This window comes from Homo sapiens, chromosome 5 (assembly GCF_000001405.40).
Source record: "Homo sapiens chromosome 5, GRCh38.p14 Primary Assembly".
NCBI lineage: Eukaryota > Metazoa > Chordata > Mammalia > Primates > Hominidae > Homo > Homo sapiens.
The window spans coordinates 19,747,754-19,764,029 of NC_000005.10; the positions used below are offsets into that span (position 1 = coordinate 19,747,754).

The 16,276-nt window shown below is 39.1% G+C and overlaps 1 protein-coding gene across 20 annotated transcripts in view; it reads right to left on the reverse strand.

Annotated features, from left to right (window-relative positions):
• Positions 1-16,276, reverse strand: part of CDH18 (cadherin 18) — a 1,104,418-nt gene that overhangs the window by 276,458 nt on the left and 811,684 nt on the right. The gene's annotated exons all lie outside the window — the stretch shown is intronic.

Here is a 16,276-nt window from a genome sequence, read left to right on the forward strand (position 1 = left end):
ATTTGAAAAAAAAATGAAATCACCTCTAATATAAAGGGCTTTGATGTAGAATATTAAAAAATAGAGTATTTTTGGCCAGGCACGGTGGTTCACGCCTGTAATCCCAGCACTTTGGGAGGCCGAGGTGGGCAGATCACGAGGTCAGCAGATCGAGACCATCCTGGCTAACACGGTGAAACTCCGTCTCTACTAAAAAAGTACAAAAAAAAACTAGCCGGGCGTGGTGGCGGGCGCCTGTAGTCCCAGCTACTCGGGGGGCTGAGGCAGGAAAATGGCGTGAACCTGGGAGGCGGAGCTTGCAGTGAGCCGAGATCGCGCCACTGCACTCCAGGCTGGGAGACAGAGCGAGACTCCATCTCAAAAAAAAAAAAAAAAAAAAAGAGTACTTTTTTAGGGATAGAGTATTTTTTTAGTTAGGGATTATAAAACTTTAACTCAAAATTTAAATAGCAGTAATATATTTAGTTGATAAATAGGCTCTCATTTTAATTAATTGAAATACAGTAACAAATCTACACTTACTAAAATTAAAATTATCAAATATTATTTGAATAGATATTAGAAAAGTAACAATAAATTACAGAAGAGGTATTCAATAAGAAAAATACCTAAAATATTGAGATAATACACTTTGTTGCCATTTAAACTGCATATAGTTTTTGCTAAAGATTCTGCTATAACACCAAAATTCACTTAAATAGTTCCAAGAGTGCCAGTGCTATATTTCTAGCTAGAAATAACAGCAGTATTTTCTCAGTTCACAAATATATTTTCAAGGATTGTTTCTCCCTAGAGGTCTGAACAGTTATCCTTTATATTAAACCTTTTTGGGCACATAACCTCAATGATTTACCTTTTTCTCATTTCTGACACGTAGAAACATTGAAAAAACACAACTTTGTTCACATAGCATTTCAGTTTTCTTGCCATAGTAACATGAACATTTTTGAGGTTTTAAAGTCTCTGAACTCTCAGAAGACATTTGGAAAACACAAAATACAGAAAAAGACAATGCAATATGAGAAAAAGATTTTTTTTCTGGGAAAATTAGGGCAACTGAAACATAAATGATAGTATGGGAATAATTTCACTTCTTTCTTGAAAGCATGTAAAAAATTACCAGGACAAAATTTTGACAGGAATCACAGAGTAAGATTCAACAGATGAAACCATTTAAAAATGCTTATTTAGATCTTTTATAAAAATGAGCAAAAATACACAGCTTTCAAAGATTCACACTTCATTAGTAAATTGGATACTAAAAGAAGAATGCAGAATGAATTGGGTGATACAATTGTATGCTTGTATGAAAATGTGTTTATTTATTTATGTCTCTTAGTATATCATTTTAGTATCTAGAAGAAAAGATTCATCTTTCATGAAGCAGACACCCGCAAAGTGTCAATAGAGAAACCTATTTCATATTCTCTAACTTCGCGTCAATCCATGACCAAAATGTAGCAAAGTAAATCAACAAATTCATTTACCAAATGTTTCTAAAACCTTTTCTAGAATACTTGTCATTAAACTAACAAAAGGTGAGATAGTTTGGTAATTATTATGTTGTTATATTATATATAAATTATAAATCTATATATTGTACTTATAACTGTATAAAACATTTTTGCAGAATGTGTTATGTCTTTTAACAATTTCTAAAAGTTTAACAATGATGAAAATTGGCATTCATCTTCAGGATATGTATATGTGTGTATACATATATATATACATGAAAAATATGTTTAGTGAAATTAATTTGATGTCACTTAGTTTTTTTATTACTAACAAAATGTAGCAATATAAAATTATACTAAGTGTACAGTTAGGTTCTTATTACAGATACTTAAGGATATTTAAAGAAGAATAGGCTTAAGTGTATAAGAGAAATAGTAAAGTTCTTAACCTACAGCATCTATTAAGCATCTATTAAATATATATACTATACACTATATAGATTCTAGTAATTCAGATATAAAAATAAAAATTTCAGTAATTTTAGGGCTATCAATTTTAAGACTTGAATCTGACTCCACATGTATAACATTATTATAATTCATATATATACTTTTTATAATTAATAAACAGTTTTTATAATACCTAGTTAACAGCATAAATGCTTCTGAAGATATGACTAATTTGAACCTAGATTGTAATAAGATTAGTAAATTATAATTCAGTAATATTTATATTTTTGGATAACCTTACACCAAATATTATGAAACTTACACAAAAATATCATGAAAATGTATTTCGATTACATTGCTTTCTAAGAATATTTAGCATGAGTTTTTAAATAACGTAGATGATCATTTTATTAATGAAATTTTAGTTTCTTGGCCAGCTTGGTTAAATCTTGAAATAAGCAGATTCCCATGTAACACTAACGGGAAACCATTGTAGTAGTTATTTAGTAGACTGACTAATAGTTTATATGATTATGATGATAACCACTGTGAAATAGCAAAGTGGTTTACTCTCAAGATTCCCTCTCCTCCACCAAATCTATTCTCAAATCTCAGTTCTGTTTGCAATATACACTTTGCAACAGGAATGGGGCCTGAGAGAAACCTTGAGTATTTTGTCTTGAATTTTTTAATAAAAGGGTTTTAAGACTCTAGAGAAGTATTTTATTAATTTTTGTAAGCCAAAAAATGATGAATGAATGAAATAGGTGAATAATAAGGGTAGTTGCAGACACAGAAAACTTGACAAATGGAGAAAAAGCTCTTGAATAGAGATAATCAGTTAGGAATATTATGATGATAGAAATATGTCATCTCTGAGTGGGGTCACCAGTGAGACATCAAATGAAAGAGATTGGAAAAGAGCATGGAAATTAGAAATACTCCATATATAGACATGGTAGTGACTCAGTAACCAGTTAAATGTAGGTTACAAGCTTAGCTAACCACTATACTACTAAGAGAGATGCCCATGATTTTTTTTTACAGTGAAATAAGTAAAAATATTTGGAAGATAAATTAGATTTTAGTCATATACAGTGAAGCCCCCCCCCCCCCACTTTTTTTAAATCAGTTTAGTCATACCAAGGGCATTGTAGCAGGGTCTGAATGTAACACCTCATATATACTCTTAGAGCCATGGGATTTTGCAAAGCAGGCTGTATTTTCATGCTGAAAGATAGACATTATATTGTCCTAAAGCAAGAAGAGATAGTCTTTGGGTATCTCATCACATAACAAAGTAGGCTAAATTAACTGCTCTTTAGAGAACGGCAAAGGAATGAGGGGTGAAAAAAGTAAAAAGAAAATGCAGTCACCCTAGTGAAGCAAAATGCTAGTAATCTCTAGCATTACTTTAATAAATTGTCACTTTCTTAGCATTAAGTAGTAACCTATGGCACTTAGAAAGCCAGCGTGACTCACATGAGTTCACTCTAGAAAACTATTTATTCACCCTGGACTACATTAGGATCAGGACCTGAAAATTTATAGCTTTCACTCTAATGCAAAGTTCATCAATAAAATAATATTCTATTCCTTGGGGAAGAATAACTTTAAAAAGTTAAGAAGATGTTGGTGGAGCTATTCATTTACAAAGTTCAGTTTAATTATGTTAAAAAGATAGGTCATTGACTTAAAACTGTAATATTTTGGGATACATAATTTATATACTTGTTTATAAGTAGAAAACATATTTATAATATTTCAGTGGAAGCCAAAAATAAAGGCAGAAATATAGTAATTCCACTATGATTGATCATTATCTCCAAAACTTGCACAAAAATATGTGACACAATGTGAAAGAAATGTGAAAACATGGGGAATACATGTCACTGAGGAGTATTATGTATCCTTCATTCCAGAATGTATTACATTCTTAAAGTATAGGCAAATGAAACAAAAATCAATCCAACTGTTAATAAGTAACTGATGTGAAATAAAACACATTAAGCAGTAACAGTCTCTTGCTAACTGATAATATATTAGTCTCTGTGAAAAAGGGACATGTATTAACCATAATTTTTAATTACACACCAATAAATGTATAAAAGGTTATGTTAAAGAGTTAAATAAAGTTTTATTTTTAAAAATTTAATCCATCAAGGTGGATGGGAGTCAGGACTGGATTGCAGCTATAACTCAGACAGACAGAGCAGGATGTGGAGGCTCACATTGTTAATTTTGCCCCAGAATGACTGCAGGAATAGCAGGAATCCTGAGAGTACTCGCAGACCCTCTGAAGGAAGCAGATTGCTCCTGCAGGGCCCCCAAGATGCCCCAAATATTGTAAGTGCCCAGGCTGTGAAACAGGGAAAGGGAGATCCGTTGCCCTTGAATACACACCCCCACTGGGGAAACTGAAGGTCTAGTTTATAGGAGAATATTCTGATCTTACCTGGAGCAGTGTGAATTTAGAAAGCCAAGCAAAATACAGGGGTAGAGGAAGCAGTGTCCATTCCTGCTTGGACTCAGGGGAGGATGCAAATCCTGTGTGTAGACTCCACAGACAGTGGAAGCACTAAAGCCCTACTTTCTTTTGCAACTGGGAAGCGGGTTAGCCGGCGGTAAGTCCTCAGCCCTGCTTGCCCATTGCCTGGAAACAGACTAGATGCTATGATGGGGCCATGGTAGGAGTGAGACCAGCCCTTTGGATTGTGTGGGAGCTGGGAGAAGCCTGTGACTCCCGGCTCTCCCCCACTTCCTTGACAACCTGCAGAACTCAGCAGAGGCAGCCATTATCTTCCTAGGTACATAACTCCATTGACCTGGAAATCTTGCCCTCATCCCCCACAGCAGTGGCAGCAAGACCCACCCAAGAAAAGTCTGAGTTCAGACACGCCTGGCCCTGCCCCCACCCAATGGTACTTCCCTACCCATCCTGGTAACTGAAGACAAAGGGCATATACTTTTGGGAGTTCTAGGGCCCCACCTGCCATGGGTTCCTCTCCATACTAACACAGCTGATGCTCTCTGGAAAGCACCACCTCCTGGCAGAAGGCCAACCAGCACACAAAAAAGAGCATTAAACCACCAAAGTTAAGAACACTCACAGTGTCCATTTCACCTTCCTGCCACCTCCACCAGAACAGGTGCTGGTATTCATGGCTGAGAGACCCACAGACGGTTCACATCACAGGACTTTGTACAGACAACACCCAGTATTAGCCCAGAGCCTGGTAGACTTTTTGGGTGGCTAGACCCAGAAGAGAGGCAGCAATCACTATACCTTGGCTCTCAGGAAGCCACATCCATAGGAAAAGGGGGAGGACACTATGTGAAGGAAACACCCCATGTGAAAAAAGAATCTAACCACAGCCTTCAGCCCTAGACCTTCCCTCTGACATAACCTACCCAAATGAGAAGGAACCAGAAAACCAACTCTGGTAATATGACAGAACAGGGCTCTTTAACACCCCCAAAAATCCTACTAGCTTACCAGCAATGGATGCAAACCAAGAAGAAATCCCTGATTTGCCTGAAAAGGAATTCAGGAGGTTAGTTATTAATCTAATCATGGAGGCCCCAAATAAAGGTAAGCCCAATGCAAGGAAATAAATAACAATAAAAAAAGATGCAAGAAGTGAAGGGAGAAATAGTCAATGAAATAGATTGCATAAACAAAAACAATAAAAACTTCAGGAAACATTGGACACAGATAGAAATGCAAAATTTTCTGGAAAGTCTTAGCAATAAAATTCAACAAGTAGAAGAAAGAAATTCAGACAAGTTCTTCAAATTAACCCAATCCAACAAAGACAGAAGAAAGAATAAGAAAATATGAACAAAGCCTCAGAGTAGTCTGGGATTATATTAAATGACCAAACCTAAGAATAATCAGTGTTCTTCAAGAAGAAGAGAAATCTAAAAGTTTGGAAAACATATCTGGGGGAAAAAATTGAGGAAATATTCCCTGGCCTTGCTAGAGACCTAGACACATTGCTATGTGTTATGCCAATGCATAGGTCATCTAAAGTTACGACAAAGGAAAGAATCTTAAGTGCTGTGAGACAAAAGCTCCAGGTATCCTACAAAGGAAAACCTATCAGATTGACAGCAGATTTCTCAGCAGAAACCATACAAGCTCGAAGGAATTGGGGCTGTATCTTCAGCTTCCTCAAACAAAACAACTATCAGCCAAGAATTTTGTATCCAGTGAAACTAAGCATCATATATGAAAGAAAGATACAGTTTTTTTCAGAAAAACAAATGCTGAGAGAATTTGTCACTACCAAGCCACCACTACAAGAACTGCTAAAAGGAGCTCTAAATCTTGAAACAAATCCTTGAAACGCATCAAAACGGAACCTTTTTAAGCATAAATCTCACAGGACCTATAAAACAAAATAGAACTTAAAAACCAAAAACAAAACAAACAAACAAAAAAACCCCCAAAAAACCAAGATACACAGGCAACATTATGAATGGAATGGTACCTCACATCTCAACATTAACATTGAATGTAAATTGCCTAAATGCTCCACTTAAAAGATACAGAACTGCAGAATGGATAAGAATTCACCAACCAAGTATCTGTTGCCTTCAAGAGACTCACCTAACACATAAAGACTCACATAAACTTTAAGTAAAGTGGTGAAAAAAAGACATTTCATGCAAATGGACACCAAAAGGAAGCAGGAGTAGCTATTCTTATATCAGAAAAAGACAAACTTTAAAACAACAGCAGTTAAAAAGGGCAAAGAGGGACATTATATAATGATAAAAGGCCTTGTCCAACAGGAAAATATCACAATCTTAAACATATATGTACCTAACACTGGAGATCCCAAATTTATGAAACAATTACTACTAGACCTAAGAAATGAGACAGACAGTAACACAAGAATAGTGGGGGATTTCAATATCCCACAGACAGCACTAGACAGGTCATCAAGACAGAAAGCCAACAAGGAAACTGGATTTAAACTATACCTTGGAACAAATGGACTTAACAGATAAATGCAGAACATTCCATCCAACGGCTGCAATATACACATTCTATTCAATAGCACATGGAACTTTCTCCAAGATAGACCATATGATAGGCCACAAAATGAGCCTCAATAAATTTAAGAAAATTGAAGTTATATCAAGCACTCTCTCAGACCACAGTGGAATAAAACTGGAAATCAACTTCAAAAGGAACCTTTGAACCCATGCAAATACATGGAAATTAAATAACCTGCTCCTGAATCAGCCCTGGGTCAAAAACAAAAGGATGGAAATTGAAAAATTCTTCAAACTGAACAACGATAATGACAGAACCTATCAAAACCTCTGGGATACAGCAAAGGTGGTGCTAAGAGGAAATTTCATAGCCCTAAATGCCTACATCAAAAAGACTGAAAGAGCACAAACTGACAATCTAAGGTCATGCCTTAAGGAACTAGAGGAACAAGAACAAACCAAACCCAAACCCAGCAGAAGAAAGGAAATAACCAAGATCATAGCAGAACTAAATGAAATAAAAACAAACAAAAAAAATACAAAAAATAAAAAAATAAAAAAAAGAAATAAAAAGCTGGTTCTTCGAAGAAATAAATAAAATTGATTGACCATTAGCAAGATTAACCAAGAAAAGAAGAGAGAAAATCCAAATAACCTCGGTAAGAAATGAAATGGGAGATATTACAACTGACACCAGAGAAACACAAAAGTTCATTCAATGCTATTGTATTAGTCAGTGTTCTCTAGAGGGACAGAACTAACAGGGTATGTATATATATATATATATATATATATATACACACACACACACACATACATAGATATATACACATATATATACACACACACATATATATATATGCCCTGTTAGTTTTATATTTTATATATATATTTTATATATAATAAAATATAGGATATATATAATATAAGATATATATAATATAAGACATATACATATATCTCCTATATAAATATAAAGGGGAGTTTATTAAGTATTAACTCACATGATCACAACATCACACAATAAGCTTTCTGCAAGCTGAGGAGCAAGGAGAGCCAGTCCAAGTCCCAAAACTGAAGAACTTGGAGTCCAATGTTTGAGGGCAGGAAGCATCCAGCAAGGGAGAAAGATGTCGACTGGGAGACTAGGCCAGTCTCCCCTTTTCACGTTTTTCTGCCTGCTTTGTATTTGCTGACAGCTATTTAGACAGTGTCCACCAGATTAAGGGTGGATCTGCCTTCCCCAGCCTACTGATTCAAAGGTTAATCTCTTTTGGCAACACCCTCAAAGACACATCCAGGGTCAATACTTTGTATCCTTCAATCCAATCAAGTTGACACTCAGTGTTAACCATCACAAGTACACCCCTTGTCAAGTTGAACCCACACACATCTCCTGAGATCATGCATAATCTTCAAATAAAGACAATAATAAGGTCATAATTACACCTAACGTAATACAACTGTCCTCTGTACAACTGGAAACACACCAACCCCCAACCCAAACACTATCACATAAAGTTAACAATATTTAAGTGCTGATACGAAGTCAATAAATCTTATGTCATATGATAAAGGAAATAAAATAAAGATATTTTCTTCATACAAGTGTATACATGTACAAATATTTTTAGCAAAAGAAGGAGGAAATACTCATGACAATTACAGTCCCCATTGCTGCAGATGGTCACGTGGTCGTAGCTGGTATTGATGACTACTTTCTTCTACTACCTATTCTGTATTTCTTTGCCTTCAGCAAGGACCTCAGCAGGTCATGATATTTTCCTGGTGGAGTGACCCAAACCTTTACTCCTGAGAGGGGCTGTTGTAGTTTCCATTAACCTTAATCACAGGGAATGATAATACTAAGAGACGCCCAAATGGATCTCCTGTATCCCATGCATACTGTTCTTTACCTCTGTTGTGGAGTAGTGGACTGATTTCATCTTGATAGTCTGGGTCAATCACCCCAGCCAACACTGTAACTCCCTCCTTAGCTTGTTGGCTTAAAGGTAGGAGAAGCCTAAAGTGGCAGTCTTAACTTATAGTTCAATGGAATTGTTGCTATGTCTCCTGGTGTCAGTATTCCTCCCTCTGGAACTAAGGCCTCTAGGCCAGCAGAATGTAATATCACAGTAACAGGAAGCAAATATTTTGCTAGTGGATCACTAGGGGAGATGGTGTGTGTTGCCACTTATGCTTCTATTCCTTGATTCCCGGATCCATGAATCTTCGCTATGGGAGAAACAGTACAATATAGCGGATGCTGATTCAGAGCATACCCAGCCTTCTGGATAACTTTGCCTCAGCCCTGCAAAGTATTGTTACCTAGTTGGTGTTGTAATTGTGACTTCAAAAGGCCATTCCACCATTCTATCAATCCAGCTACTTCAGGATGATGGGAAACATGGTAAGACCAGTTAATTCCATGAGGATAAGCCCACTGCCACACTTTTTTGTTGTAAAGTGAGTGCCTTAGTTAGAGGCAATGCTGTGTGGAATACCATGAGGGTGGATAAGGCATTCCATGAGTCCATGGATGGTAGTCTTGGCAAAAGCATTGTGTGCACGATAGGCAAACCCATATGCAGAGTAAGTGTCTATTCCAGTGAAGACCAACCTCTGACCTTTCCATGATGGAGGAGGTTCAATATAATCAACCTGTCATCAGGTAGCTGGCTGATCTCCCCGAGGAATGGTGCCATATTGAGGGCTCAGTGTTGGTCTCTGCTGCTGGCAAACTGGGCACTCAGCAGTGGCTGTAGCCAGGTCAGCCTTGGTGAGTGGACGTCCATGTTGCTGAGCCCATGTGTAACCTCCATCCCTGCCAACATGGCCACTTTGTTCATGGACCCATTTGGCTATGTCAGGGGTGGCTGGGGAAAGCGGCTGAGTGGTATCCACAGATCAGGTCATTCTATCCACTTGATTATTAAAATCCTCCTCAGTTGAGCTCACCTATTGGTGAGCACTCTCATGGAGTACAAATGTCTTCAGTTTTTGACCACTCAGAGAGGTCCACCCACATAACTCTTCCCCAAATTTCTTTGTCACCAATTTTCCGATCATGCTTCTTCCAAGTCCCTGGCCATCCAGACAAACCATAGGCTACAGCCCAGGAATCAGTAGATAATCACACATCTGGCCATTACTCCTTCCATGCAAAGTGCACAACCACGTGCACTGTTTGAAGTTCTGCCCATTGGGAAGATTTCCCTTCACCGTTGTCCTTCAGGGATGTCCTTAAAAGGGGCTGTAGTGGTGCAGCTGTCCACTTTTGGGTGGTGCCTGAATATCGTGCAGAACCATCTGTGAACCAGGCTCGAGTCTTCTCTTCCTCTGTCAACTGATCATAGGGAACCTCCCATGAGGCCTTCAGTGCAGACTGGGGAAGAGAAGGCAGGGTGGCAGGAGTGGAGACCATGGGCATTTGAGCCACTTTCTCATGTAACTTACTTGTACCTTCAGGACCTGCTAGAGCCTGATCATATATATAACCACTTCTATTTGATGATAGAACGCTGCTGTGTATGACCCACTTTATGGCTAGATGGGTCAGAAAGCAACCAGTTAATGATAGGCAGTACAGGTCGCATGGTGACTTGGTGACATGTAGTCAAATGTTCAGTTTCCACCAAAGTCCAGTAACAGGCCAAGAGCTGCCTCTCAAAAGGACAGTAATTATATGCAGAAGATGGCAGGGCATTGCTCCAAAATCATAGAGGCCTCCACTGTGATTCACCTATGGTGGCCTGCAAAAGGCTCCAAACAACATCCCTGTCTGCCACTGACACCTCAAGCACCGTTGGATCTACTGGGTCATGTGGCTTAAGTGGCAGAGCAGCTTGCACAGAAGCCTGGATCTGTTGCAGAGCCTTCTCCTGTTCTGTATCCCACTCATAATTGGCAGACTTTCGGGTCACCCAATAAATGGGCCAGAGTAACACACTAAACGAGGAATGTGTTGCCTCCAAAACCTAAATAGCCCCACTAAGCATTGCGCCTCTTTCTTCATTGTAGGAGGTGCCAAATGCAGCAATTTATCCTTCACCTTAGAAGGGATATCTTGACAGGCCCCACACCACTGGAACCCTAGAAATTTTACTGAAGTAGAAGGTCCTTGAATTGTAGTTGGATTTATTCCCCATCCTCTGGCACGCAAATGTCTCACCAATAAGTCCACTGTGTTTGCTCTTTCTTGCTCACTGGATCTGATCAGCACAATGTCACCAATGTAATGGACCAGTGTGATATCTTGCAGAAGCGAAAAGCGATCAAAGTCTCTCTGAATAAGATTATGACACAAAACCAGAGAGTTGATATACCTCTGAGGTAGGACAGCAAAGGTATATTGCTGGCCTTGCCAGCTGAAGGCAAATTGCTTCTGGTGGGCCTTATGGATAGGAATGGAGAAAAAGGCATTTGCCAAGTCAATGGTTGCATATCAGTTACCAGGAAATGTTTTAATTTGCTCAAGCAATGAAACCACATCTGGTACAGCAGCTGCAATTGGAGTCACTGCTTGGTTAAGCTTATAATAATCCACTCTCATTCTCCAAGATCCACCTGTTTTCTGCACAGGCCAAATGGAAGAGTTGAATGGGGATGTGGTGGGAATCACCACCCTTGCATCTTTCAACTCCTTGATGGTGGCACTAATGTCTGCAATCCCTCCAGGGATGCAATATTTTCTTCGATTTACTATTTTTATAGGTAGAGGCAGCTCTAAAGGCTTCCATTTGGCCTTTCCCACCATAATACCCCTCAACCTACCAGTCAGGGAGGTAATGTGGGGGTTCTGCCAGCTACTAAGTATGTCTATGCCAATTATGCATTCTGGCACTGGGGAAATTACCACAGGCCGAGTCCAGGGACCCACTGGGCCCACTGTAAGTCAGACCAGAGCTAAAACTCCATTAATTACCTGACCCCCATAATCCCCTACTTTAACTGGAGGACCACAATGATGTCTTGTGTCCCTTGGAATCAACGTCAGCTCAGAGCCAGTGTCCAGTAGTCCCTGAAATGTCTGATCATTTTCCTTTCCCCAATGCATGGTTAACCTGATAAAAGGCTGGAGGCCTCCTTGGGGAAGGAGGGGAAAAATATTCACTCCATAAATTGTCGGAAATGTAGTGGGGGCCCTACATTAGGGGTACCGTTCTTCAAGGGGACCTCGCCTCTCCTTCACTCCAGGGGTTCTGGGTCTGTAAACTGGCTCAAGTCTGGAAATGAATTGAGGGGCCATGATTCTATTTTTATAATTCAAATTAGTATTTTGTCCATTTAACCTAGAAGTTTTCTGCTTGTATAAATTAAATAGGAATGCAGTAGGCTTCCTATCAATTTCACTTCTAGGGACACAGTGATTAATTAGCCAATGCCAGAGCTCTACGCGAGTCACACTATTCTGATTGCCACTTTGCGTCTGCTGTCCATTATGGTAGCTACACCCACCTTGCCTTTGACAGATGAATGCTGCCACTTGGCTCCTGCCACCTTGGGATCAAATTATTCCCATTGTATTTAAATTTTATAGTTGAATAACTGCAGTTCCCACCATTAGATCTGATACACAGAGAAGAGCAATTGCAGGGCTCTTTAAAGATGCAGGTGCTGCCGTCAAAAATCTATTTCACAAGGCTTTGGTCAAGGGTATATCTTCTGGACTCTCCCAGCTGGGATGAGTAGGTCTAAAGTGACTAATCCACTCCACGATCCCGATTTCCCTAGCCCTTTGGATCTCTTCCTCTACAACCAGGAAAGATCAGGCATTTCCAGCTTGCTCACGGTGGCCCATCTTTTAATCCATATTTTGGCTAACAATGCAAATAAAGCATTAGAGACTTTTACAATGCCCAGAGTTGAACATTAAAAGCAGAGTTCCTACTTAGTGAGCCCAGATCAATAAATTCAGCCTGATCCGACTCTGTGTTCCTTCCACCATTATCCCACACCCTTAATATCCATCCCCATGCCTGTCCTCCAGATTTCTGTTTACATAAATTAGAGAACTCAAACAGTTCTTTTCAAGTGTGGTGCATGTCCTCATGTGTCACAATCTCAACCTCACCTCTAGTGGCCTGCCGGGACTTTAGTTATAGATTTAGAAGCAGAGATGATGGGGGTGGCTCCTGAGGATGATCAACATTATCTTGCCTGGCAACTACCTCAGGGGAGGCCATCACTGTTGCCGTTGCCTCAGGCAGCACAGAGTTTATGTTCTCAGCCAAAGGTAGAAAGGCTGACAGCAGCATGGGTTGGGGAGTGGATGTCGCCACTACTGGGGATGGGGAAGCTCTTCATTCTGGCCAAAAAATATTCACCAGAGTTTACAAACCCAGCATCCCCAGGTTTATTGGGGTCCTCCCACATGTCCCCATTCCAAGTTTCAGGGTCCCCTTCTTTTCCAGTCAATGCCCTCAATTTAACAGTAGATACCTGGCGAGGTCGTGCATGCATCTTTCACTGCAGGTCAGCCACTCACATGATAAGAGCTTATGTCTGTTTTTCCGCAATTTCAGCTGTTTCTCTACAGGAGATAAGAATCTCACTCAGGGCAATCTTAGCAAATTTGAGGCTCAGTATCTGCTTCTGAAGCCAGGAGATAGAATCTCTCAGTTCATAATTTTCTTTCATCACTTTGTGCACTGAACTTAGGAGTAACCAACCAGCTTCATTATGTTCCTTGGATCTCCACATATAGTCAAAGGTATTATGTATAGAGTCACTAAACTTCTTGCCTCTTCTGAGCAGTAAATCAGGCGTTTCAAATGCATTTATTTTGCATAACTCTCTAAAGAGTTTCTGCAAAGGACTATCAGTGTTCTCCATACTATTAGAAGTAGAGTCCTTAGCATTTCTGGGTCTAATCATATTAGGCATCTAACTGCAGAAACCCAAAAAAAAACTGCCCAACAAAATAAAAGAGGACACAAACAAATGGAAGAACATTCCATGGTCACGGATAGGAAGAATCAATGTCATGAAAATGGTCATACTGCCCAAGGTAATTTATAGATTCAATGCCATCCCCATCAAGCTACCAATGACTTTCTTCACAGAATTGGAAAAAACTACTTTAAAGTTCATATGGAACCAAAAAAGAGCCCACATTGCCAAGAGAATCCTAAGCCAAAAGAACAAAGCTGGAGGCATCATACTACCTGACTTCAAACTATACTACAAGGCTACAGTAACCAAAACAGCATGGTACTGGTACCAAAACAGAGATATAGACCAATGGAACAGAACAGAGCCCTCAGAAATCATACCACACATCTACAACCATCTGATATTTGACAAACCTGAGAAAAACAAGCAATGGGGAAAGGATTCCCTATTTAATAAATGGTGCTGGGAAAACTGTCTAGCCATATGTAGAAAGCTGAAACTGGATCCCTTCCTTGCACCTTACACAAAAATTAATTCAAGATGGAATAAAGACTTACATGTTAGACCTAAAACCATAAAAACCCTAGAAGAAACCCTAGGCAATACCATTCAGGACATAGGGATGAGCAGGGACTTCATGTCTAAAACACCAAAAGCAATGGCAACAAAAGACAAAATAGACAAATGGGATCTAATTAAACTAAAGAGCTTCTGCACAGCAAAAGAAACTACCATCAGAGTGAACAGGCAACCTACAGAATGGGAGAAAATTTTTGCAATCTCCTCATCTGTCAAAGGGCTAATATCCATAATCTACAAAAAACTTAAACAAATTTACAAGAAAAAAATCAAACAACCCCATCAAAAAGTGGGCAAAGTGTATGAACAGACACTTCAAAAGAAGACATTTATGCAGCCAACAGACACATGAAATAATGCTCATCATCACTGGCCATCAGAGAAATGCAAATCAAAACCACACCAGTGGTTTTGATACCACTCACACCAGTTAGAATGGTGATCATTAAAAAGTCAGGAAATAACAGGTGTTGGAGAGGATGTGGAGAAATAGGAATGCTTTTACACTGTCGGTGGGAGTGTAAACTAGTTCAACCACTGTGGAAGACATTGTGGCGATTCCTCAAGGATGTAGAACTAGAAATACCACATGACCCAGTGATCCCATTACTGGGTATACACCCAAAGGATTATAAATCATGCTACCATAAAGACACATGCACACGTATGTTTGTTGCAGCACTATTCACAATAGCAAAGACTTGGAACCAACCCAAATGTCCATCAATGATAGACTGGATTAAGAAAATGTGGCACATATACACCATGGAATACTATGCAACCATAAAAAAGGATGAGTTCCTGTCCTTTGTAGGGACATGGATGAAGCTGGAAACCGTCATTCTCAGCAAACTATTGCAAGAACAGAAAACCAAACACCACATGTTCTCACTCATAGGTGAGAATTGAACAATGAGAACACTTGGACACAAGGCAGGGAATATCACACACCAGGGCCTGTCATGGGGTCTGGGGATGGGGGAGGGATAGCATTAGGAGAAATACCTAATGTAAATGATGAGTTAATGGGTGCAGCAAACCAACATGGCACATGTATACATATGTGACAAACCTGCACGTTGTGCACATGTATCCTAGGACTTAATGTACAAGAAATGAAATAATGCTATAGCAGTGAATAGAAGATTGTTAATGGGAGCATGGACCAGGGTGGTATTTGTGAAAGAAATAAGAAATTATCCAATCAGAAATATATCCTGAAAGTAGCACAAACAAAGGCTTCTCAAAGAGTAGATATGAAGTATAAGACAAATGAGAAGTCAAGTACAAATGTTTGGTGTTTGGCCATAGTTACTGCATAATTGAAGTTGCAATCAACTGAAATGTGGAAGAATCCAGGTACAGGAAGTTTAAAAGTGATCAAGAACTCAATTTGAGGCATGCTAAATGTGATATTTTTTGTTGAAGGTCTCAGCAGATATATAGAGAAGTCATTTGTATATGCAGCCTGAAGTTCACAAGAGGCATTTTATTGGCCTTATGAACTTAGAGAACATTGACACAAAGTTGGCATTTGGAGCAACGAAATTGGATGAACTGAACACTAAAATAAGAATAGGTGAGAAGAGAAGAATTTAGTTTAGAAGCCTGTAATACCTCAAAGTTAAAAAGCCAGGGAGACCACAAAAATATTGAGAAAGTGCAACCAGGAAATAGATGGAAAACAAAAGCATATTAGTGTCCTGGAACGAAGTAAAAATATAGCACATGAGGCTGGGCACAGTGGCTCACACCTGTAATCCCAACACTTTGGGAGGCCAAGGAGGGTGGATCACCTGAGGTCAAGAATTTGAGACCAGCCTGACCAACATGATGAAACCTCGTCTCTACTAAAAATACAAAAAAAAAAAAAAAAAAAAAAAATTAGCTGGGTG